Source organism: Homo sapiens, chromosome 6, assembly GCF_000001405.40.
Source record: "Homo sapiens chromosome 6, GRCh38.p14 Primary Assembly".
Lineage (NCBI taxonomy): Eukaryota > Metazoa > Chordata > Mammalia > Primates > Hominidae > Homo > Homo sapiens.
This window is the reverse complement of record NC_000006.12, coordinates 5178642-5204562: the sequence shown is the minus strand read 5'-3', so window position 1 is coordinate 5204562 and position 25921 is coordinate 5178642. Positions and strand designations below refer to the sequence as shown.

General features: G+C 42.1%; 1 protein-coding gene and 1 long non-coding RNA gene across 11 annotated transcripts in view, besides 1 other annotated feature; one reads left to right on the top strand and one right to left on the bottom strand.

The window, feature by feature from the left end:
• Positions 1–25921, bottom strand: part of LYRM4-AS1 (LYRM4 antisense RNA 1) — a 236681-nt gene that overhangs the window by 35934 nt on the left and 174826 nt on the right. The window lies entirely within an intron of this gene.
• LYRM4 (LYR motif containing 4) overlaps positions 1–25921 on the top strand; it is a 229198-nt gene that overhangs the window by 56388 nt on the left and 146889 nt on the right. The window contains exon 3 of one of the 10 annotated variants that reach the window (NM_001164840.3): positions 17583–17963. The exons of the other annotated variants lie outside the window; for them this stretch is intronic. Within the exon in view, the coding sequence (NP_001158312.1) occupies positions 17583–17768 (186 nt within the window). The 3' untranslated portion in view covers positions 17769–17963. Of the gene's footprint in view, positions 1–17582; positions 17964–25921 lie in introns of those variants that run through there. 10 annotated transcript variants of the gene reach the window in all.
• Positions 11273–11780: an enhancer, noted in NCBI's record as "H3K4me1 hESC enhancer chr6:5193017-5193524 (GRCh37/hg19 assembly coordinates)". NCBI's record gives its function as "activates a minimal SCP1, AML or CMV promoter by ChIP-STARR-seq in primed H9 embryonic stem cells {active_cell/tissue: H9 hESC(primed)}" and the evidence as "EXISTENCE:reporter gene assay evidence [ECO:0000049][PMID:30033119]".

Sequence of the window (25921 nt, the reverse complement as noted above, 5' to 3'; positions counted from 1 at the left end):
TGCATTTCACATGGGAAGAGAGGGAGGGAGAAGTCAGTTACCTGTTTGGGAGCAGAAGGAAGGCAGTTTTTGTGTGACTCACTTCCCAAGCTTCCCTTTCCCTTTGGCATCATGAGTTTGGGGTCCTTCGATTCTGCTTTTCTTTCACACCAGTGAGTCCTGTTATCCTTAACTAACAAACACTCAGACTAAAACTCCTCCTTTACTTGAGGAAGTGGGCATATCCCTTTCCAGAAAAGAAGCCAAGGAAACTAGAGTATTCCCCTGTCCCCCAGCCCACCCCCAGAGTCAGTTGAAAAGAAAAGGTGATCCATGAGGTAAGTTCCAGCAGGATGAAAGGAGACTGTGGAACTCTTTTATTTTCCCTGGTGCCCCACGGGAAGGCATGAAGGCACAGGCCCAGGAGTACAACAGGAGTGGTTTCAAGTCCTGGCTATCACTCCCAAGCTTTATGAGTTTAGGCAAATGACTTTCTGTGGGACTCTTTCTCTTCTGTAAAATAGGCATAATTGTCTGCCCTTCCTAGGGGTGTGAAGGAGACTGACAATGTTTGTGAGGCACACAGCACAGCGCTGGGCCCATGATAAGTGTTCAGTAAGTAAGAGACAGCTGCAGCCTCATCTATACTTCAAACTGCTTTTTCCTTACTACTTTTAAAAACTCAAGTGCTAAAACAAATCCTGATGGAGACGTTCCCACTTTGGTTTCAGCCCCATAAGTGTGCGGAAAGGGAGCAGCTGTCCGTTCTTCTTTCATGTGCTTCTGCTCTCCAGCCGCTTAGACGCAACACGAGGGGCCCTGCCCAGCTGCAGGCTCTCGGCATGCTGTTCTTGTTATAATACACGTCTGACTTCCCCGGCCGCTTTTCAGTGCATTAAGTGGAGCTGTGAAGACTAAATTCCAAGTGACAGTTTCAGTGTGAAATATTTATTGCATGCTGATAAAAGAATATCCACCTGAATAGAATCAGGAGGGCCAAGGGAAAATTGCAGTCCATGTAATCTTCCATATTTTAAACGTTCCCATCACATTGCAGACTGCTAGGCAAGGAAGTGAAATAAAGGCTTCAGGAAAAATCTCATGGAGGGCAAGGTGGTGTTTGGAAGTAAAAAATGGGAGTCCCTTAATTTGAATAAAGGTGTTCTCAAATTCAGAAGATGGGGAGGCAGGACCAGGAGCCATTAGGAGGCCTACCAAGCAGCTGTCCCAGGCAGCAGACTACTGTATACAGACAGAAAGGCCTGATTTCACAGTTGTCTTTTCCTCCATACCCATGTGCGTAGAATGGTGCCTGATCAACAAGATATGCCTAATCAGAGCTTCAGTGAAATTTTCCTTGGATTTCTGTAATACCCATCTCAGCCTGTATTTCCGAGCATCATGGAATGTCCCCTGGAGCAAGTTACCAAAGTCCGGGGGGCGTGGGTAGTTAATCGTCTGTATTTGAGGAATTTGTTTTCTGATGACAGATGAAGGACAGATTTCACGTGTGCATGTTCAAACACATGCCTGTAGAGGTGGACAAGTACTCAGAGTTGCTTATGTGACTTTTTGGTTTATTAGTGTTGTATGTCGTTCTCTCCTTGGAGACTAGGGCTGTCCTCTCTGTCTCACACTTATCACAGTGCCCTACACACTGATAATGGTTAGAAAATGCTGCCAAATGAATTATATGCTATAATTATAAAGGACTAGATTCCACAAACTTGAATTCCTTCATAGTAGCTTGTGTCATTCACTGTATTTATGGAATACCCTTATGAAAAAAGCAAAAAGTCTAAGCCAACAAAATTTTAGCCATATCCTGGAACAATAATTAGAGCTGTAACTAATTATAACAGCCCTGTCTTTGGAGGCAGTTGGCAGCCCTGACATACATACGAACTTATGGCAGGCTATTCATCTTTTCTTGGGAGAACTAGGGAGAAATAAGGTGGGTGGGGTGGCCAAAAACCACTTTGGAAAGGCCTGTTGGAACAAGTACTTCTTGCCCAAACATCTGAACAGAAGGCCCTTTGCTGAGTTAGGCCACATGGTCCATCCAGTGCCCACATCATCCTTTTGCAGCCTCTTGGGATGGCATAGAAAGTTCATATTCCTCCTGTTTGTATGTAAGGAGGTTGGACATTGGGAAATCAGGCTGCCCCTGGAAGTTGGAACATCAAAGGCAAGTCCAGGAACCACATACTGCACAATGAGCCAGGCCCCTCTGCCTGTCAGTTTGTCTCTGGACTTCCATGGAATACAGGTATTGTAGACACACAAACCCTTCACACAATGCAATTTACTCACCTTTACCTGTGGGAGAATTCTATGTATGTGAATTCAGACATGCTGAAAATACAGAAAGATCATATATAGTAATGTTCTTGTCAGGGCACTTTGTTTACACAAATTCATTATAAAAATTTAGAATTGCAAAGTGTAATTCAGTTAATTGAGCACCTGCAAAAACAAGTTTTGGTCATGGTTATTCACTGATTATGGAGGCTGAAGCAGTTAACTTTTCATTTATGTTTTATATACCAGGTGCCGCAGGCATGGATCATTTCATGAAAGAGGATGACCCTGCAGGGCCTCCTTATTTTGCAGATGAGGAAACTGAGGCTCAGAGAAGTTAAGAAATGAGCTCAGAGAGGTTAAGGAGCTTAAGACTCCGCAGCCAGTAATGGTTGATGCCAGGATTTGAGCTGAGGTCTCCATCACCATATCATGCTGCCTCCCAATAGGATCCTTTAATTGCATTTTAATAGAATGAATTTTATTAAAATTTTAGGTAGATATACTTTCGTAGCCTTGGCTAACCCCTTCCAACTGAGAGCCAGTGACTTGCTGAAAGTCAGAGTGCCTCTCTGGGGAAGGCACCCACAGCCCCGTGATTCCTGACTGCCCCGTCTTGGTGCCCTGGATCTTCAGGAGCGCACAGAGAGAAATGAGGTGCAGGGGGTCACTGCCAGCAGGTTTGGAAAGACAGATGGTTCCCTCTGGAGCAACAAACAGATTAGCTAAGCAGGTGACCCAGCAGGGCAGCCCCAGAGCTGAGCGCAGAAGGCTGAAAAGAGGATTTAGCCAGCTCGGTGAACTGATTCACCCAAAGAAAAGTAAGACAGTTTGTGGCATGAGCTTGTCAACCCCTTTACCCCTTGCCAGTTGATGATGATTTGATGCATTGGTATGTTTCCAGGCCACTCTCAGGGATCTGAAATTCTTGGCTAGACAGGGAAGAGCATTTGAGCCTGCCCGTGCACTTGCACTGCCAGGACTAGCAAGCAGTGCCAAGGTTTGCCTGATCACTTGTCCCCATCCTTGATGGGGACAAGAAAACTAAAGGAATTTTTCTTTTGATGGCAAAAGAAAACTAAAGGAAGACTGATACATTCCATATCAGATACCCATGTTGCACTCTAAATTACTCTCCTCAGATACTTTAAACCCTTCACAGCTGGAGTTTTCCATTATCTAAGCACTTGTAATATTTGGAAAGAAAAACCATAACCAATCTCAAAACAACCATGATTCACTCCCCCACAAAAAATGAAAAATTAATCTTAATTTTAAAATATTTTGTTCTTATACATTACAGTACACTTGGAATTTCATTCAACTTTCTGTTTTACACGGTATTACTGGGTGAACAAAAGGCTTTCTGGCTCTGAGGGTATCTTCAAAGACGGGACTTTTACCTTATACCAGTGGTTATCAGCCCTGACTGTACGTCAGAACCACCTACAGTGCTTGTACAGACCAGTCTACTCCAGACCAGTTGAATTTGAATCTCTGAGTGTGGGAGTCAGGCATCAGTATCCCGAAGTGATGACAGTGTGCAGCCACAGTTGCGAACCAGTGGCTTACAATGAACTAGAGAGGGGCCTTGTCCTGGTCTACTCCACCTGTGAGCCCTGCAGAGTGCATGTTCTCCACAAGGCTAGTCTCCGGGCAAGCTGTCTTTGGTTTTTGTGATGACTTTCCCTGATCTCTGGATCTCTCTAAATTCAATCTTTGCTCTCGTGATTATTTTTATTCTGTTGCACTTTTACCGACTTTCAGACTCTGTTTAGAAGTTTTATTTTAAATTAAACAATGAAAATTTTACTGCAACTGAAAATTTCATGTGCTTCCACCCGGTGGAGTAGAGTGCATGCTCCTGAGGAGGCTCTTTGGGGTTCGAGCTGATATCACAAGACAATATCCTTAACAACCAAGTAGAATAACAGGGCTTAGAGCCAAAAGAATACCAGAGACATGTCCTCGAGAGTGGAGTCCTCATCTGAGGGAGATGTTATTTAACATTCTTTGGGAGGCATTTTTCTAGTGCAGCTAAGGGTTTGCTACCCATACAAATTGTGGCTGATCCATCCTGCACTTCTGGAGACACGCTTATCATGTAAACCCTGGCAATGAGAATATCCACAGTGTCCTATATATTTATAGCAGGCATTTTCCCAAGCAGGATTCCAAGTACATCTACAGTTATTAAGAAAGTCATACACCTTCTCTCCTTTCAGGGGGAATTTGTGGGAAGAAAAGATTAATATACCTATATACCAAGAAAGACATATGTAAAATTTTTTCAGCCCTTCAGGATTGTTGTTATGAATATGCTCTAGACCAGTCTGTTTTGAAACTGTGTTGCAGCCCTCAGCTGCACAACTTGTTCTCAGTATCAACTCTCTTATAGCACCTTGGGGGCAGCAAGGAGACCTGTAGAAGCAAAACAAGGCAATGGCTGTTGGGAGCTGACCCAGTGACAAATGCTAATACCCTGGGCCAAATGTCCTAGCATCCAAAGGAACTGGATGGCACAGCTTAAATTGGGATGGGTTGGCCAGACCAGAACACCAACTTTTTTCAGGCAATTGCCTGGCAATTCCTGGCAATTTGAGAAAAATTGAGATTTTTCTCAACTTCAGGGCCATTCAAGGTTCAGCCTGTTGATGGAAATCTCTGTGACAGTTTCAGTCTGGTAGTGACTGTTCTTCCCTGCAATATTGTGTAGATTTCACAAAAGCATGTGTAACAGCTTTATTGAGATGTGATTCACATACCACAAAATTCACCCATTTGAAGTATACAAGTCAGTGGTTTTTAGTATATTCAAAGTTGCACAACCATCACCATGATCAATTTTAGAACATTTTCATCACCGCAGAAAGAAACCCCATACCTATAGCTGTGACTCCCCATTTTCCCCCAACCCACTCTTCCCTAGCCCTAGCCAATCATCAGTCTACTTTCTATCTCTGTGGATGAAATTTATATTCACGACTGGCCTCTTTCACTTAGCGTAATGTTTGCAAGGTTCATCCATGTTGTAGCATAAGAGAGTACTTCCTTCCTTTTTAATGCCAAATAGTCTTCCATTATATGGATATACTACATTTTATCCATTCATTTGTAGATGAACATTTGGGTCATCCCCACTTTTTGCTCTTGTGAATGATGTTGCTATGAACATTCATATGCCAGTTTTTGTGTGGCCATATGTTTTCATTCCTCTTGTATATATACTTAGAAGTGGAATGGCTGGGTCATATGGTGACTCTGTTTGAACTTTTTGAGGAATTACCTAGTCTTTTTCCAAAGTGGCTGAACCATTGTGCATTATTACCACCAGCAAGGTATAAGGGTTCTAATTTTGCCCCATTCTTGTAAACACTTGTTTTTTTCTGTCGTTTTGATTATAGCCATCCTAGTGGGTATGAGTGGTGTAAGATATACCTTTTATACATGAAACAACCAGATCTAGATTAGAAGGCTAACGTTGACCTAGTTACCCTTTAAGGAAGGTTAAGACAGCAGGGAGGCGGGGATGGACATGGACCTTAGGCCAGTCCTCTGTATCTAAACTCAATTCTCTGTGGATTGAGAACCAGGTTAGCCCTTTGCTGACTTTACAGTGCTTGTAAGAGATGGGTATTACTGGGCAATGAGGTTTAGATAGCCAGGGGCTAATTCAGAGCATCTGGAGCTCTGGGTAAGAATCCTGTCTCTCACTGCTCCCTGTGGCCCTCCCTGAGCTGCAGTGGAAGAGAATGACCTCCAGATGGACAAGAGTAATGTGCCTTGCCTTTTGTGGTACCTCATAGAGTCCTTTCACACAGTAGGTGGAGGTTGATTTTTTTAACATCAAAAACACAGACCTTCTTAGTGCTAAGCCAGCCAGACTTTTGTTAGCCTGATTCTTCTTGACAAACCTGATGCTGCTTATCCTTTGAAACTTCATCTTTAGTCTTCTTTTTTCATGCAAAATATAGGCCTCTGTGACAAGTAGATATTTGCACTTGGGTGTTTTATGAGTACTTGAAAGCCGTGATGTCCAAAACTCAGTTAGTTGCCCTCCCTTTCTCTTTTCTTTTTTTTCTTTGAGACGGAGTCTCACTCTTGTTGCCCAGGCTGGAGTGCAGTGGTGCAATCTCGGTTCACTGTAACCTCCGCCTTCTGGGTTCAAGCGATTCTCCTGCCTCAGCCTCCTAAGTAGCTGAGATTACAGGCACCTGCCACTACACCCAGCTGTTTTTTTGTTTTGTTTTGTTTTTGTTTTTGTTTTGTATTTTAGTAGGGATGGGGTTTCACCATGTTGGTCAGGCTGGTCTTGCACTCCTGACCTCAGGTGATCCGCCCACCTCAGCCTCCCAAAGTGCTGGATTACAGGCGTGAGCCACCGCACCCGGCGCTGCCTTCCCTTTCTCTTAAACTAATTTACCTTCCCAGTTCCTCCATTTCTCAGTAACTGAGGCTCAAATCCTCCCTCTTGCCTACACATAGGAAATGTGACCTTGATTAGGTTATCTATTTGAAATAAATTCGGGACTTTGCTCAGGTCCTCCAAAATAGAAGATCCCTGTGAATATTAAAATATATTCTTTTATTTTATTTATTTATTTTTTTTGAGGCAGCGTCTCACTCTGTCACCCAAGTTGGAGTGCAGTGGCATGATCTCGGCTCACTGCAACCTCTGCCTCCCAGGTTCAAGCAGTTCTCTGCCTCAGCCTCCGGAGTAGCTGGGATTACAGGCACCCGCCACCATGCCCAGCTAATTTTTTTTGTATTTTCAGTAGAGACGGGGTTTCACCATCTTGGCCAGGCTGGTCTTGAACTCCTGACCTCGTGATCCACAGGCCTCGGCCTCCCAAAGCGCTGGGATTACAGGCATGAGCCACCGTGCCCGGCCAAATATTAAAATCTATTCTAAGATATTACCCTTTTTCTTGAGGTTCTGGCTTGGCATATGCTCTAGACTTATATAATCAGGCACAGCCAACTCAGGCACTTGGCCCCCCCCTTCAACCAACTCAGTGTGTCATAGTCTTGAATCCTCTTGAAGACCTTCCTTGCCTACCTTATCATGAATCACCAGTAAGCACCTATGTTTTTTCCAAAGGACTTGGTTTGAGGTTCTGTTAGATATTCCTGTTGACTAGATGCTCATCTGTTTCAGTAATCTCACTTGAATGTGGAAGCACCCTTTGTTTCCTGGCAGCCTAATTTCTCTGCACAGTTACAGTGGTTAGATGTGTATTGATGAGCATTACTCTCTAACTGCTCGTGTCAAAGCACTTGGGGAGGCTCATCAATCTTGTGCGTTTTTAATTGACATCAATAATGTGTTTGCATTTATCAATATTTCCTAATTGCCGAGTTGTCACAGTGGAACTTCTATAATAAATCATGCCCACAGATAGCTTCAGAGGTTACAGCTTAACATTCCTGTCAATATTTTGATGTATTATAAATTGTTTTTATCAGAATTTTTTCCTGTGAGAAAGGAGGAGCTGTACAGCAAGAGACAAAAGAATTGAGTCACTGTCACCATATACAGTTATGTTAAAGAACCAAATCATTCCAATGGAAATAGAAAAAAGCTATTTCCCAAGCTGATACAATTCATTCCCATAAAGTTTGGCATCATCATCTAGATTAATGCAAATATGTTTCCCCTGATAGTGGTGTGCTGTGCCCAGCTCCTCTGAGGAGAGGCATCTGGATGGTCGGACAGTGAGCACTCTTAGGAGGAAGGCACTGTACCAACCTGCTTTTCAGAAGAGGAAACTGTGAGGAAGCTTCGTGAGCTGCAGTTACTTGCCCAGAGTCAAACTGCTTTTGCAGAGCTGGAACTCAACTCAGGGCCGTCTGAGTCCATGTTTGGACTCTTGACCTCTTAGGGACAAGCTTAAACCCAAAGGAGGATGAGGCCTGGATATTAGAAGGCATGAGTCTCCATCATCTGTTAAAGCAGGTAGAGGCAGTAGGGTGTTGGGCTTGGAAAAGCAATGGTTGTGAAGGCTCCAGGACCTGCACTCCTGTACCTGCAAGACAGTCACATGAGGGAGAGTTAGACATGATATCTGCGCCAGATGATGGGGACTGGAAAGGCAGAGGGAGTCCACTGCCCTGGGCAGAGGCAGTGCTGCGGGGTCGGAGCCACGTTGCCCCAGCGTCCTTGAGTGACTCTTACCACTCTCTGTCCCAGTTTCCTCAGCTCTGAGATGGGAATGTGGGAGCACCTCACTCACGGGGTCATTAGGAGGATTCACAAACTAATACGTGACAAGAGCTTATGATGATGCTTGGGGCATACTAAGTGCAATATAAGGGTTTGCTGTTGCTTTGTTATAAAGCCAGACTTTCAGTTGGTGTGAGGAAGTTTTTTTCTAAGAAATCATTCAATATTTATTCATTAATTCTGGGGATACAGTGATAGATAAGACAGATATAGTACCTGCCCCTGCCCTCATGCAGCTTACAATCTGTGTTAGAAAGGGAATTGCTATGTGCCTCAGGTGAATAGCTGTTGAGCACCTGAAGGAGCCATTTCTGAGACCGTGACCCCACCCTTTTCCTGTCATTGAAGATGCCCAAGCAGACACTGAGGTCCTTGTGAGAAGGGCTTCATACTGTGGGGGTTCTTTGTTTTGTTTTGTTTTGATGAGACAGGGTCTCTCACTTTGTCACCCAGGTTGGAGTGCAGTGGCGCTATCTCAGCTCACTGCAACCTCTGCCTCCCAGGTTCAAGAGATTCTCCTGCCTCAGCCTCCTGAGTAGCTGGGACTACAGGCGCATGCCACCATGGCAAGCTAATTGTCGGGGTTTTTTTTGTTTTTGTTTCTTTTTTTTTTGTAGAGATGGGGTTTCACCATGTTGGCCAGGCTGGTCTCAAACTCCTGACCTCAAGTGATCACCTGCCTCAGCCTCCCAAAGTGCTGAGATTATAGGCGTGAGCCACCATACCCGGCCTGATACTGTGGGGTTTTGTAATGTCCTTAACATCCCTCTGCAAGGGAAGGTTAATTAAATGCAACCAATGATAATAACATCAATATGTACATTGCTTTACTTTAAAACTACCTGGCACCCTCCAGGTCTCTAGGGTGAGGTGAGTAAACTTCAAGATTTTGCAGGGCCGTCCTGTGAGCTGCAAGAATGAAAGGTAGGACTTCTACTTAGAATTTTCATTTGTCTATTGTGTGTATTTTAATAAGCACAATTTAGTGGTACAGGAACACATATGCATAATTTTTAAATAAATGTATGTACATCAAGCCTTTATGTGTAACAGTTTCTTGCTAATGACGTAAACAGTTTTAAAAGTTTAAAGTCTACCACTGTAGGTTTTACCAAAATACCTGAATTCTGTAAAGCCAGAAGCTATTATAGTAATGAAATGGTGTTTCCATAGCTGGGTGCAGTGGCTCACACCTGGAGTCCCAGCTACCCAGGAGGCTGAGGTGGGAGGATCACTTGAGCCCAGGAGTTTGAGGCTGCAGTGAGCTATGATCGTGCCACTGCACTCCAGCCTGGACAACAGAGTGAGACCCTACCCATAAAATAAAATAAAATTCACAGTGTTTCTATATTTTCCTAATTTTCTGATTTAGCCATTTATGGATAATTTTCAAAGGTAGTATTTTTCCAAAGACGCTTTCACTTCTACTGGAGAGCTTAAAAAAGAATCATGAAATACTTGATGTTTTTATAGGACTTAACAATGCTATTGCATTTAACCCTCCTACTAGCCCATGAGGTAGGTCTTATGTCCCACCTCGAAGAAGAGGGAACTAAGCATTTCAGAAGGTATGCCCAGTTCTGGTTGTACCTCATCATTTTGCCAGAGAAGAGAAATTACAGACTTAGGAACAGTAAAGCTGGTGCTCATTACCAGCCGCACACCAGGGTATGCCTGTTCACACGGGTCACAGGGGATGCTGGGAGGGACTGTGGCCATTTGTTCTTACTAGTGCCACCCTCTGCTCTTACCCAAAGACAGCACCCTTCAAATATGTATCCTTCAACAAGATTTATTAGGAAACTACAGTTGGCCAAACCTTCAGGAGCTTTCAGTTTATAAGAAGAGGTAACGTATCTTTTCTAATCCCCAAATGGAGCGTATGAAGCTGACTGTTAATTAGTGGCAAACTTTAATTTGGAGGGTAGTCTCCATGTTTGTCCTCTGTCTCTCTCTTTCTCATTCTCTTCCCCCACCCCCCACCCCCCCACACACACCCTGTTGGTTCTGTTTCTCTGGAGAACCCTGCCTAATACAAGATCTAAACCTTTGAAATCAGACCTGGCCTACATAACGTGCCTTTTTAACAATCATATATTTCTTTTAAAGCAGCTGAAATTAAGCATGAACCATTAATTTTGATCATCCGTTTTATTAAAATTTGGGAAATTTTAAGTACCTAGGTACTATATGTCCTTTTTCTGAGTTTCTCTTAATTCCTAACCAAATCATATCCATAGTATGCTCCTTTCTAAGTCACTGTCAGTCCTGGCTGCGTCATGCTTTCCAAGGGTTTTTACTGATGGATTCTCAGTTTCAGCCTAGGAAGGTTGTCAGGATCTCTGGCCTGCTTTCTTTGGCTGTTCATCTGTCTCAGCCATCAACATGGTCTCTTGATAACTTAGATTGTTGGTTAATTAGAGAACAGCTTTAGTTTGCCCTTTTAGCACTTCTGATTAACTAGGACAGTCTGCTTTACTCTCCCTCTGACTTCTCCAAGATTCCCTGCTGCCTCATTTTCAAAGACCAAAACAGGAAGACAGAAACACAACACACAGAATCCCTCAGCTGAGTATGAAATTTCTGGCCATCCTTCACTGCTCTATCTGAGGATTATTAGATGCTTTGGGAAGAGTCAGAAAGAACCCTGCCTTCTATTACATGTTTCTTCAACTGGATGACTAGCAAGCTACAATTTGAAATGGTCTTCAGAAATACTGCTCTTAACAAAGCTAAGGCGTTTTTTTTTTGTTTTCTGGTTTTTTTTTAAATCACATATAGTACATAGAGGTGCTAAAAATAGAGCTTACAGTTACTTCTATTTCTTCACTCATAGGAGAAGAAAGCCCTGTAACCCCAAGGGTTGTTTCCTTGTTGTTACTTTTGTTGTTTGTCATGTCAGCCCTCTCTTCTTGTTTAAGGAATCTTGCATTTTGAGGCCTTGTCCTGTAGGGCTGTGTGCCTATTACCTCTGCCTACTGAACTGAAATCCAAGAGTAAGCTCTTAGGCCCAAATGCACTTTGTTTTTTGTTTTTGAGACAGAGCCTCACACTGTCACCCAGGCTGGAGTACAGTGGCGTGATCTTGGCTCACTACAATCTGCCTCCTGGGTTCAAGCCATTCTCCTGCCTCAGCCTCCCGAGTAGCTGGGATTACAGGCATGCACCACCAAGCCTGGCTAATTTTTGTATTTTTAGTAGAGATGGGGTTTTGCCATGTTGGCCCAGCTGGTCTCAAACTCCTGACTTCAGGTGATCCGCCCGCCTCGGCCTCCCAAAGTCCTGGGATTACAGGCGCGGGCCACCGCGCCAGGCCCTAAATGTGCTTTGGATACAACGGAATACACAGCCTGTTGTGGATTTGGTGCCTTTTAACCATGCGCAGATTCAGAAGTTAGATCTCATCATGGAAGAGGACAGCAGCAACAGCCCCATAGAGGTGCAGTCCCCTGTGGATGGTGCCCCTCACAGGCATTCTGTCCTGTGCTAATGAGCACAGTGGGGGACTCAAAGGCCTAACTGTCCCAATGCTATGGTAGTGATTAGGACCTCAGAACAGTTTTCGTTAAATTAAAAAAAGTCAATTTTTCCTGACAGAGCCTTACTACATGTCTCTTTGGGGGGACTGAGTAAGGGGAGGGGTGCTTCCTCAGAGCACATTCAGGAAGCGTATTAACACAGCTCCTGCAGTGTGTGCTGTCCTCTTCCTGCTCTCCAGGCGAGGACATTATGTACTGGCCTCCTGCCTTGCCCCCAGCCGTTCTCTACCCACACAGGGTCCCTCCACCACCCTACCCCAGGCCATCTTCAGTCAGAAGTAGCAGCACTTTAAATGTCATTCACAAAGTCCTGTGGGGAACAGCCCCAGGATGCTCAGCAGAGGAAACACAAACTTTATATTGCTGAAAAGGTGGATTATAAGCCCACTGCCTTTTCTGATGTACTCTTCGTTTTCAGATTTCCTCCATTGTCCTATAATATCTTTTATAACTTTTTTAATCCAGAATCCATGCAAGCATCAAGCATTGCATGCATTAGCTCTCCTGCATTTTTTTTAACTTTTATGACATTGATGTATTGAGTCCAGAATGTTCTCCAGTCTTAATCTGTCGGATTGTTTCTCTAAGGTTACATTCATAATAAGCACTTTTGGCAGGAAAACTACGTAAGTAATATGGCATTCTTCTCAGTGCACCACATCAGGAGGCCCATAATGTCAATTGTACAATTATTGGTTCATGCTGAGTTTGATCATTTGTTAGAGTAGAATTGACCAGATGTTTACACTGTAAACATACTGTTTTTCTTTGTAATTAATAAATCTGTTCCCCAACAACCTTTCACTCAGTGGTTTTCAGACCCATTAATGTGCCTTGCCTGAATCAGTTGTTACATTAGTGGTTGCAATATGGTGATTTTTCTAATTCTCTGATCACCAAGTTGTCTTCTTAATAACACACTAGGGCCCGTTTTAATGAGAGTAAGTCCTAAATTACAGACAGGTAAATTTGTCACTAATCTATCTCAGTTCTCATTCCTAGTTTCACAAACTCATGACCTTAGCTCAAGACAGTGAAAATACTCTCTCACAACACATTTTCAGGCCTTATCTTTGAGTCATATACTTCTCAGAATGGCGCGTAGCTCTTATTTCCACTCAGAGACATGGGGTCAGTCTGGCATCAAAAGGACTTCAGATTGCTTCCCTGAGCTGCCTGTGACAATCATCCACCCTGCCTGGACCGCTGACATGGACAAAAATGGAGACCTATGTTCTGTTTCTAGTCTTTTGGGGATCGTAACCTCTTTTTACCAAATGCATCGTGAACTTTTCTCATGTGACCCCATTCTCTCTTGACTCATGTTGTTTTAATAGCTTCCAGTATTTCATTGTATAGCTTATCATTTGTTTATTGTTTCCCCCAAATGTTGAATATTTACTTGGTCCCTAATTTTTTTTTCTATTACAGTGTTGCCATAAATATCTTCATGTACATCCGTGATTTTCTCTTAGGAAAAATTCTTATTAAAATAACTAGATCAAATAATGTATATGCTCTTATGCTCTTAAGGCACATGAGGCAAGTTTTTAATACAATGCCTTTAGCTGATAAAAACTTTTCACCCTTTCCCCAGAAATAGGTATGTATAAACACAGAGACAAAGTTTTGCATAACATATCTGGAAGTTCCTGAAGCCACGGGCTCAGGTTCAGAAACTTTAGTTTGTAAAACTGAAATCTGAAAATTCCCAAGATTGTATTATCTAAGAAATTCTCTCAGGCTTTCTCTGACCCCAGCATTCCACAGTTGCAGACACTAGATTTAACATCAGCCTTATGACAACACATGAGTAATGCATTGCACAATGGTGTTAACAACGGCAGAGTTACTAGATGATAGGAATTTTTCAGCTCCATTGTAATTTCATGGGACTGCTGTCATATATGGGATCTGTTATTTTGTGGCACATGACTGGTTTTTGGAATTCAGTGTTTTCAGTCACATGAGAGATAGTCAAGTTATCACGCTCTGCATGCCTGCATGTGTGTGTCCCTCCTGTGTATATTACGGGGAAATGATTTTAATTAAATAAATATCATTTAATTGAATATTTAATGCCAGAGCCTATTAGAACAGATACGGTGTTACTACAGAATACCAAGTGAATTTTTTTCTAAATGGGCTTTTTCCTAAGCAGAGTTACATTGTGCTAAAATACATCCATCCATCTATCTATATATCAGGAGAGCATTTAGAAGTCACTGCTACTTAAAAATGTTGAGCATTCTCAGTTTGAGCCAAATTGGTTTTTAAATTAAAAAAAAAAGCCTCAAGGAAATCAAATGCTTTGAGTCTATTAAGGAATTTACTGAGACTCCAGTAGTATCTACTCTGTGTACTTAGCATAATACTTTATTATTCCAAAATCAACTCAGAACTGATTCCAAGAAAATCCTAGGAAAAAATTAAAGTGAGGAGGAAATAATCCCTTTGTGCGGTGTTTGAGGCAAATTAGAAAGCAGGAGTCTCTGAACTCAAATCTGGTTCTGTCATTAAATCACTAAAGGACTTGGGAAAATTAGATAAATTCTTTTTGTTCTATCTATTAAATGGAGACAACAGTATCAGCCTACTTTTCTAGACCAGGAAAACAATTCTTTGTGTCAGATCAACCTCTGTTATATAAAGATTTCTTGAACACAGTAGTACTACAGGGAAAACCCTGGATTGGGGAGAACAGTGATTCGATTCATAGATTAGGTGAAGCATGTACTGATTTTTTTAGACAGGTGATTTAGCCACCTTTGTGTGTTTTACTTTTTTGCTTTTTGAACTCTTCTCACTCTCATGGCTAGCATCGTAGACAAATTTAAAAGCTCTTAAAGTCATGCTCATCGACAAAATGGAGTTATTAGTAGCTCTTAATTTTCCTGTCTTAGGCACCATGTGGAATAATGTAGAGCTTCATGGTGCCTTGCGGCTGGAATTTCAGTCACCCGAAATGCATGTCAGAGCACCAGGACTAGTGGCTTACTGGCCTTCAGACAGCGGTGCTAGAGCAGCGTAAACTCTTGAAGTCACAGATCTGCTTTCAAATCCTAGGCTAAGCACTAACCTTAGGCTCACCACTAACCTTAGGCTCACCACTAACCTTAGGCTAAGCACTAACCTTAGGCTCACCACTAACCTTAGGCTAAGCACTAACCTTAGGCTAACCACTAACCTTAGGCTAAGCACTAACCTTAGGCTCACCACTAACCTTAGGCTAAGCACTAACCTTAGGCTAACCACTAACCTTAGGCTAAGCACTTAATTTCTCCAAAACAAATAAAACTGGGGCTGTTGTGAAATTGAGATACGATAATAGTGTTTTATAATCTAAAAACAAGATGTTAGCAAGAGGCAAATATTAATAACAATTGTATGTAATACAGTACGGGAAAACAGCAAGACAAGGGGTCCTATTAATATTGATAGTTGGGTCAGGCACCGTGGGAGCCACATGCAGTGGCTCACAGCTGTAATCACAGCACTTTGGGAGGCTGAGACAAGCAGATCGCTTGAGCCCAGGAGTTTGAGACCAGCCTGGGCAACATGGTGAAACCCCTGTCTCTACAAAAAAATATAAAAATTAGCATGGTGACATGCACATGTAGTCCCAGCTACTTGCGAGGCTGAGGTGAGAGGATTCCTTGAGCCCCAAAGGTCAAGGCTGCAGTGAGCCATGATTGCGCCACTGCACTCCAGCCTGGGTGACAGGACAAGACACTGTCTCAGAAAATATATCATCATAATAGTAGGTCATGTTTATTAAGTTCTTACTGTGTACCAAGCTCTACACAAAATGTTTAATGCACTGTCTCATTTAATCCTCCAATAGTACTATAAGATGAGGAAACAAGTTTAGAGAGGTTAACTTACCCATTGTCACTCACTAGTAAGTAAAGGAGCCAAGTTTCACACCCAGATCACTCAGACTAAGATCCGAAGCTCTTAATCAGTACTTGATATGATTATTATGATCACTGTTAGTATTTGTTAAAAATAAGAGGAACAAAAACACAACCAATAATCCCCTTCTTTTATCCTCCCTTGATTTACAACTTAGGTAACTTAATCTTTCTGAAATTTGTGTTTACTTACCATTTTTTAATCAAAATAATGCATTCTCTCTCTTTTTTTTTTCTTTTGAGAGTGAGTCTTGCTCTGTCACCTAGGCTGGAGTGCAGTGGTGTGATCTCATGGCACTTCTGGTGCTCAAGCGATCCTCCCACCTCAGCCTCCTAAGTAGCTGGCACCTCATGCCATAGGCACATGCCACCACTCCCAGCTAATTTTTGTTTGTTTCTTTGTTCATTTGTTTGTTTTTGGTAGACATGGGGTTTCATCATGTTTCGCAGGCTGGTCTCAAACTCCTGGGCCTCAAGTAGTCCTCCCACCTCAGCCTCCCAAAGTGTTGGGATTACAGGTGTGAGCCACCATGCGTGGCCAATGCATTCTAAAGATTAGAAATTTAGACAAAAAACTTCAAAGGCAACAGGAAAGTTTTTCTCCTCTCCCTTTCTTCTGACTGCAAAATCTCACTTCCCACATAAAGATTCTTATGTAGCCTTCCAGAAATTTCCCGTGCATTTAGAGAGATTGTGTGAGTGTGTACCCTTTTTTGTTGGTTTAACACAAATGAGATTATACCATAAATACTCCCTTACAGCTTCTTTTTTTTTCCACTAACACAATATATATTGTACATAATTCCATATTGGAACATAAAAACCTGTCTTTTATTTTTATTTATTTATTTTTATTGTACTTTAAGTTCTAGGGTACATGTGCACAACGTGCAGGTTTGATACATAGGTATACATGTGCTGTGTTGGTTTGCTGCACCCATCAACTCATCATTTACATTGGGTATTTCTCCTAATGCTATCCCTCCCCCAGCCCCCAACCCCCCGACAGGCCCCGGGGTGTGATGTTCCCCTGCCCTGTGTCCAGGTGTTCTCATTGTTCAGTTCCCACCTGTGAGTAAGAACATGCGGTGTTTGGTTTTCTGTCATTGTGATAGTTTGCTGAGAACTGTCTTTTATTTTTAATGGTCAAATACTCCACAGTGTGGACATGCTGTAATCTATCTAATTAGCCACTTAATGATGGACGTTTACATTGATTTCAGCTTTTTGCCATTATGAGCAGTGCTGTAGTGAACAAGCTGATATGTGTGTCTTTGTGAAGGACAAGGCCTTGAGGTAGGAGGGCTGAGTCACTGGGTATGAACATTTAAAATGTGGACTGAACGACTTACTGTCCCAGCCACCCTGTCTTCACCCTGATTCTTCAGCCCTGAGAAGATCACATATTTTCACCTTTATCAACACAGAACATGAAAGGTAGTATCGCCTCTGTTAGGGGTCATGTTAAGAATATTTTGTGCTATTAGCATGTGCATTTCTTTTCTATATTATTCATTCACCATTCTATTGTTTCTTAGATTTGTTACAAATACAGTTCCTCGTTTGTCATTTATTTTGGGGCCCCATTTACTATTCTTTTATAGACAATTTTTTTTTTTTTTTAAGATGGACTCTCACTCTGTCGCCCAGGCTGGAGTGCATTGGAACGATCTCAGCTCACTACAACCTCTGCCTCCCTGGTTCAAGCAATTCTCCTGCCTCAGCCTCCCGAGTAGCTGGGATTATAGGCGCACGCCACCACGCCTGGCTAATTTTTGTATTCTTAGTAGAGATGTGATTTCACTGTATTAGTCAGGCTGGTCTCGAAGTCCTGACCTCAAGTGATCCACCTGCCTCAGCCTCCCAAAGTGCTGGGATTACAGGTGTGAACCACTGTGCCCGGCAGACAATTATAATTTTTATGTAGTTACATTTCACTTCATTGTCTTTGAATTTTGTGTCATGCTGAATTCCCACTCCAAGACAATAAAAATTCTCTTGCATTTCCTTCTGGTGCTTTTGTAGATTTTTTAAATGTTTAGTTTTTGAAGTAATTTGAATTTATTTTGGTATAAGAAAGGAGATGGGAGTTCAGTTTAACCTTCTCCAAAATGATAACTTTCTCCTGTCCTAGTATCATTTATGGAATAAGGAGACATTTTTGTCTTAGTCCAACACACCAGAACGCAAGGCCAGAACACCCTCAATTCCCTGCATTTTGCTTCCAAAGGAAACATCCATCCTTTTGCTGAAGTGACTGGTCTGCTTTGCTCCGAGTTACCACGTTTTCCTCTGTGATGCTAGTAAGCCTGCTCCTTCAGCTGTCTGCTCTCCTAAACCTCCCCTTCTTCCTCTCCACATAGCATCTCCCCAGTCCAGAAAGAAGCCTTTGGCTTCCGGGCTTTCAAGTCATGCTTCTGCCCAGCTCTTTCCCCTTCTCCTCTATCTGCAGGGTCATTTGCACTCATAAGCTTCACTGCCTCCCCTTAACACCTCAACCCCCTGGCATCCAAGCAGTAACCCCCCATGCTGCGCTGAACCAGCTCCTGCACAGATACCCAGGGTTCCAGGCATGCCAAAAACATGTGCGTGCCTTTGTCCAGTTTGACCTGTCCAAAGCGTCTGACCATTCTGGCTGGCCACTCCAGGAGGCTCTCCCAGCCCTCCTCACTCCTGCCTCCCCTTCTGCTGGCCCTGGCCCAGTCTCGTCTGCTGGCCCTCCCACTCTGTCCCTCTAAAACTCAGGCACTGCCCAAGCTTTCATTATTGGTCCCTCTCTTTCCCTGTGATCACATCCACCGCCATGACACACCTGTCTCCTGCAAGGATGACTCTGAAGTCTGTCTCCTGTCCTGACATCTCACTTAAGTGTGGTGGTTCAGAGCACAGGTGTTGAAACCGGACAAGCCTGGGTTCAGATCTCTGCCACTAACCAGCTGACCCTGAGCAAGCCACTTAGTATTCCTCAGCCTCCTTATGGGCTTGTCTCTCCTCCTGGACTGTGGGGTTGCTCAGGCAGAGACTAGATATTAGATTAGATTTTACCATATTGAATGCCCACTTGGTGTCAGGTGTTACACTGTGCACTTGATGCAGCCCATCTCGGATGAAGTAGGTGTGTGTTTGTATTCCCTTTATATCTCAACTCAGAGCTATTTGAATCCAAAACCCATTTCTTCCCAAGATTTGTTGGTATGTCTACAGAAGCTTATGCTCTAGCAGAAGACAAGCCATGTCCTCCTGGGAAGATGTCCTTTCCAGCCGTCTTAACTGCCTGTGCTCTTTCCACTGGCTTAGCCAGCTTTCTGTCTTTCCTTAGCATGAGCACAGGGCAGATGCTTGGTCATTGTTTAGTCAATGAAGGACAAGTATCTTCATTCATTCGTTCACCCATTCATTCATTGGACACATATTTATCCTTGTCTTTGTGCCAGACTTTCACCCAGGTATTGGGATTCATGGTAACAAGGGGCGACTCGACCCTCGAGGAGCTAGGTAGGAGCGTATTGTGATGCAGCAAGTAAGTACAGGGGCTGGGGAAGACAAAGGGCAAGGAGGAAGGGACTTCAGTGCGTCAATGACAAGCAGGGCATAAGGAAGGGACTTCAGTGCATAAGTGACTAGAAGCAGAGAAAGCAAGAGGTAGCAACCTCGTGCGACCCTGACCCTGTGCTTGGGCTTGCGCAGGGGAAGGGGCCCTTCCAAGTGTAATCAGAGGTGTGATGAGGATATGTTCTTCCACTGCTCCCTCTTTTCTCTGCTGATATCTGCAAGGACCGTCTGCTCATTTACCACCCTCTCAGAGTGCCTGGAGATCAGGGACTGTCTTTTTTAGCACAGAACCTAGAACAGTACCTGATCCACAGTAGATGCTCAGCAAGAGTTTGCTGGGTGAATGAGTGGATGTTACAGTGCAGGGCATATGAGCAAAAGGGTCTACTTGTTCTTAAAACAAAAGCATGAACTCATGAGCTGCTTACATCCTGTTCATTTATTTTCTTTGAAGAACAAGATCCATTTTCTAAGTACCAGATGACTTAAATTAATTTATTAAAATGTTAATAAGATTGCCCTTTTTAAAATATAAGCAAGACTTTTTGTTTTCCTGTGGTTTTAACGGCATCTCCACAAAGCAAAATCAATCCTTATGGCTATGTGCTTATTAATATAGGTCCCTTTTGGACACCAGGATGTTTAATACCTACTGCCTTCTAATGGGGAAAAAGAAAATTTCAACTTCTTTTCTCTTAAAGGGACAGCTCTTTTGAAGAAGGAAGAGAGGTTATCCAGTTATAATTTTGAACCCCTTTCTTGTGAAACTCCATGCCACTCGCCATTTATATCCTGCTTTAGATTGTTGGGGTTTATTTATTTGAATACCTACAAAGTGGACATCTCGGGATCATTATCGTTAAGAATATGTATGAAAAAAATTTGTCTTCAATGCAGGCAAGTCTGAAGATAAGAAAATGGACTAGATTACCACTTAGTTTCTTGTATAAAAGCTTTGATACACAAGAAAAAAAAAGTATGACTTTTGGTTCTTACTCTTTAAAAAAATGGACAAGTAAAAATTGTATGTATTTATGGTGTGCAACATGATGTTTTGTTAGATGTGTACATTGTGAAATGATTTAATCCAGTTACCACATCCATTACTTCACATACTTACCATTTGTTTATGGTGAGAACATTCGAGGTCCACTTTCTTAGCAGTTTTCAAGTATGCAATACATTATTATTAATAGCCTCCATGTTATACAATAGATCTGCAGTGGTTCTTACTATTCTTAACAGCTCAAGTGGAGCATTAAATAAGATTCAGGCTTGCCTTCTTATTTAGTTGTCAGACTGTTTTTCTCCAATTTTGTTTATTTCTAGTCACATAATTGCACAGCCGAAAGATGAGAAATTACCACTTCTGTGCCATACACTTGATTTTGTCGGTCTAAAGGGGGAGAAGAGGGGTGTGGGAATAGAGAGAGAACTGAGGTTTGATGTGAAATTCAAAATTGGAGATTGTAGAGGCATAGCAGAATTACTCAGTAGTAAGCTTATTCTCCAGAAATTTTTTTACCAACTTTATTGCATTGGTGCAAGTTCATTCCTTTTGAATAGGAAACCTTTGCTATACTGTATATGATTATGGCTATAATAATAATAGCAGTTACCATTTAATGCATTGCTTATATGCTACATGCTATAACCTGTTTTCACTGACTAAGGATAAAAAAAAATGCATGCCACTGAAAGCTGCAGAATTCTACATTTAAGTATTTAAGATGATTTCTCCCACAGCAGATGAAGGATGTTGTGCAGGGATAGAGCACAGGGAACCTTTCATTTGTGCATCATAGGAAAGGTGGAATTAGAACACAGTACTTTTATTTTCTCTTTCTTCCTCCAACCATGTCCCCATAAGCTCTAGATTAGCCAGCTAGAGGCCTCATCTCTGAATGTCTTTCTAAATAAATACACGTTGGCTGTAGGTTAGTTTTGGTAGCACATGGAGCCTAAACCCTGGAGAGAGGAAAGTGGGGTGAAGGGAAGAAAAAGCTTTAGTAATGAAATAATATAAATGTGCCAGGTACTTTCACTTAAAATCTAAGATTTATGCTTTCATTATAGTCTCTACAACTGTATGTGGCAAATGCTAGATTATAAAAATCATGCATGCAGATTAAATCTTTTACAATAAAAAATTCTCTATAACATAAAATATTCTCCACTCTCAGGCAATGGCCTCCTTCAAAACTGATGCATTTCAGCTAAAAAAATATAGAAGGTCCATGAATGTCAAGCAAAATTAGATTTAACTAGTAATTCAGGTGTTATACAGGCCACACTGATTACTGTCCTCTCTCATGGCTGATTAAAGGATGTGTCTAAACAGTGGTTCTCAAACAGGGTTACCTTTTTAAAATACACATATTCAGGCTCGTAGTTCTGAGCCCCTGGGCTCTCCTAAAGTCATTGTTCTAAACCACTCTTAGGATGAAGAGAGAGATGTGTATGATATACAACTAAAGTATTGATGGGTTTTCAATATCTAGAGGGCTTATGACCATGTATAAGTTTATTCTCAGTTGAATGATCAATTTATTAATTTTACACATCTAATAAATGAAACTTTAAAATGAATTTTTGTTAAACATTTAAGCATTGATTAAAAGCTAAATTATATTTCTATAACCAATTTAAAAAGCAGTTGCTAATCTAATATGGCTGTTTCTTTTAAAGTCTTCAAACACCTTGAAGGGTAACTAAAACAACACAAAAATAGTCATTACAAAACCAGTTACTACATTTACAATTCCACCTATTTCAAAATATTGACATCATTGGTTTAATTCAAATCTCATTCTTTCTGCATAACATCATAGGGGTTCAGAAATGTCACATTAATTAATACCTGTCTCAGTTAAAAACAAAAGAAAAAAAATAGCTGCAGTTACAGGACCTGGAGGAGATATCACCTGATTCCTGGACAGGGCACTGGTCACCAGTCTGGACTGCCTCATTATGGGCGAAGTTCATTTGTTATAAAGTTTACTTATTACAAAGTATGTCTGGGGATTGGGGGGGAGGTATTTTTTTGCTTGGTTCAACAGGAATGCTCTTAACAGCAATAAGGAACAAAGGGGATCCATGTGAAGGAAGGAGAGTTCTCTTAGAGACAGACTGAGTCTAAGATGCTAGCATTGTGTCTTCTAGGTACATTGAGCAGGCAGGTGAAAATGCAGACCTAGAGCTCAGAGGCCATCTGGGCAGGAGGCCTGAGTTTGGAAGTCATCTGGTAAGAGGTGAAGCTGGACTATATTACCTAGAGGGAGTGACTAGAAAGAGAAGAGGCTGAGAAGAGCAGTAGGAAGAAGAGAGTTGTGAAATGGGATGTTTGGCAACATCTCTTAGAGAGAGCTCGGCAGGGAGGCCAGTTGAGCATGGCCCGTGGGAAAGAATGGAATCTGCTCACAGGGGACCTGGAGCCAGGGCGTGGTCAGGAGGCAGGGGCACCAGACCTAGAGGAGCAGTGTGGTGGTGAAGAGGAGGAGAGGACACAGGGACCATTTGAAAATCTAGGGAATGGGCAGATGGGCCCGCGTGGGGTCTTGTTTTGTTTTCTTTGGATTTTAGGTTGTGGTTTTTATAAGGATGTAAAGATTGTATTGTGTGTGTTGACGGGGAGGAAAAAGCCAATGCAAAAGAAATCATTGACGACACAATACAGGGTAGAAAACCATTCATGGAGCCTGGTCCCAGGGCAATGAGGGGAAAGTAGGGTTTCCTACGTGAGTCCTCGATACATCGTGGAAGAAAAGAGGGAGAGGACAAATGAGAGCTATGCAGGACAATTCTAAGGCAAAGAAGTTGGAGAAGCTCACATTTTCTTTTCCCACCTTGTCATTCCTCTTTCAACCAGGTTTGTGGTTTTGTTTTTTTAAAAACAAACAAACGAAAACCTTGTAATTGTGTAATCAAATATTTCAATTATTTCTTTCATGGTTTTGTTTATTTGGCGTGAAAATTCATCTTAAATGGGCGTGATCCTTTCAAAAAATTAAATGAAGAAAGCAAAACTCTGTGCATAAAGTCTGCATTGTAGGATTAAGATGTATTGCTTGAGAAAAGTGAAAAGGGTTCAATAATAATGTAGTGGATGTAGGGAGGGTGAGAGGCACTCCATTAACAATGGGTTCAAGGATAGCTGTACAGCAGTGATAACAAAGGTGAGTGACATACTTCACTAGCAAGACCAGTCAGTCCTGTTTTACAGTGTTCTGGCGCACATGGGAGAGAGAGATTGGTGCCATCTTCCCCAGGCTAGGATTGGCAAGGAGAATGCAGCAATAGAAGTTAGGTGAAGCAAGGGTATCCACGAGAGCATCGCTGCAGTGATTGGTCACCAGGTCCACGCTGGCAGAGCAGCTGAGAGGCTGGAGGCAACTCTGGGCCAGGAAAATAGGAGGAACCAACGAACCAGAGATCATGTTGAGGAAGAGCAAGCTCAGGGGTGACAGATTGAGAAAAGTGGGAAGACAGGAAACTGAGTCAAAGTCTAGGGCTCAAATATGTTCTAAATGGTGGTGAGATCCAAGCTGCAACCTACCTAAGGTTAGGTAACATTAGGGAGGCAATGAGGATCTACATTTGAGGATGCTAGGGCCTGTGTAGAGCCAGGCTGTTTGGAAGATCTTTAGCATAGATGCTGAGCCTAAAAATGCAGACTGAATATTGACAGGAAAACTGAGCTCGGTATTGACATTGTCACAGTAAGGAAATCACGAGATAACAGTCACACGCTTAGGAAGATGTTCAATCCTGCCACGGTGTACACCTGTGCCACCATACATGGTAGCCCCGGGGAACGGCTGCTGTCTGTGGAGCAGCAGGAGGTGTAAACTGCGGAAGAATCCACAGGTTCTGTAGAGACCTCTAGGATTACCAGCCCTTCAGATTTCATTAGTAACCAGCTCCTGTGACATGCTGGCATTGTCAGATTAGCCCCATAAACAAATCTGCTTATTTAGCTGAGTCATTATTTGTGGTTCTGTGTTTAGCTTTAGCCTTGTTTCTGCCTAAGAAACTGGTATGTGACCAGAAGTAAAGGAAATTGATTATTCTGAGTGACTGGCACAGTAAGATTCTATCTGCCATACTTACATCTCCTATGATTAGGCACAGTAAGAAATTATTGATAAGCAGAGCCATAGTCTAAAGTGTGTTGTAAGCATGATGGGGCAAAATGTTATAAAACCCAACTTAGTAATGCTGTTTCTCCAAAAATGAAACACAGCATTACCATAGGATGCAACAATTACACTTCTGGCTATATACTCAAAGGAAATGAAAGCAGGGTCTTGATTAGGTCTCTGTACACCTATGTGGGTAGCTGCATTTTCACAGTAGCAAACAGGTGTAACCCAAGTGTCCATGGATGGATGAATGGGTAAACAAATGTGGTCTATACGTACAATAGAATATTATGCAGCCTTAAAAAGGAAGGAAATTCTGATACATGCTATAACATGGATGAATCTGGAGGACATTATGCTAGGTGAAATAAGCCAGGCACAAAAGAACAAATACTGTGCTATTCCAATTATATGAGCTACTAAAGTCAAATTCATAGAGATAGAAAGTAGAATGGTGATTGCCAGGGGCTGGGTGATGAGGGGTTGGGGGAGACTGAGGGATGAGAATGGAGAGTTGGTGTTTGATGGGTACTGTGTTTCAGTTTTGGAAGATAAAAAAACTTTGGAGCTGGATGGGGGTGATAGTAGAAAAACAATGTAAATGTACTTCATGCCACTGAAATTACACATAATTGCAGTTTAAATGGTAAATTTTGCTACGAATAATTAAACACTTTTTAAAAAATACATGAATAGGTCCTTCTGGAAAAGGGCTTTACATGCTAAATTTTGTGTTATATATATTTTACCACAATAAGAAAAAAATAAAAATAAAAACTTAGCCCTGACTTTGAGTTATTGAGGGGTGTTTCCTCTTTTCTTTCTTTTTTTTTTTTTTTTTTTTTTTTGTTTTTTTGGTTTGTTTGTTTTTGGCAATTTTACATTTACTTCTCAGTGAGAAGAAAAGCAGCAAGTGCATGGCCTATAGATCATTTTCTAATCTGACAAAGGCATGTAAAAATATATGCTTTATTCAGCTTTTGAAACGGTGGATTCAAACTGCCAGTAAACTTCTTTCCTTAAAAGGAACTCACTGTATTTCAACGCTTTGTAGCAGTGAGGTACAATCAGAGGAAACTCTTTTTTTTTTTTTTTTTTTTTTTTTTTTTGAGACAGAGTCTCACTCTGTCGCCCAGGCTGGAGTGCAATGGCGTGATCTCAGCTCACTGCCACCTCCGCCTCCCGGGTTCAAGCGATTCTTCTGCCTCAGCCTCTGGAGTAGCTGGGATTACAGGTGCAGGCCCGGCTAATTTTTGTGTTTTTATAGAGACA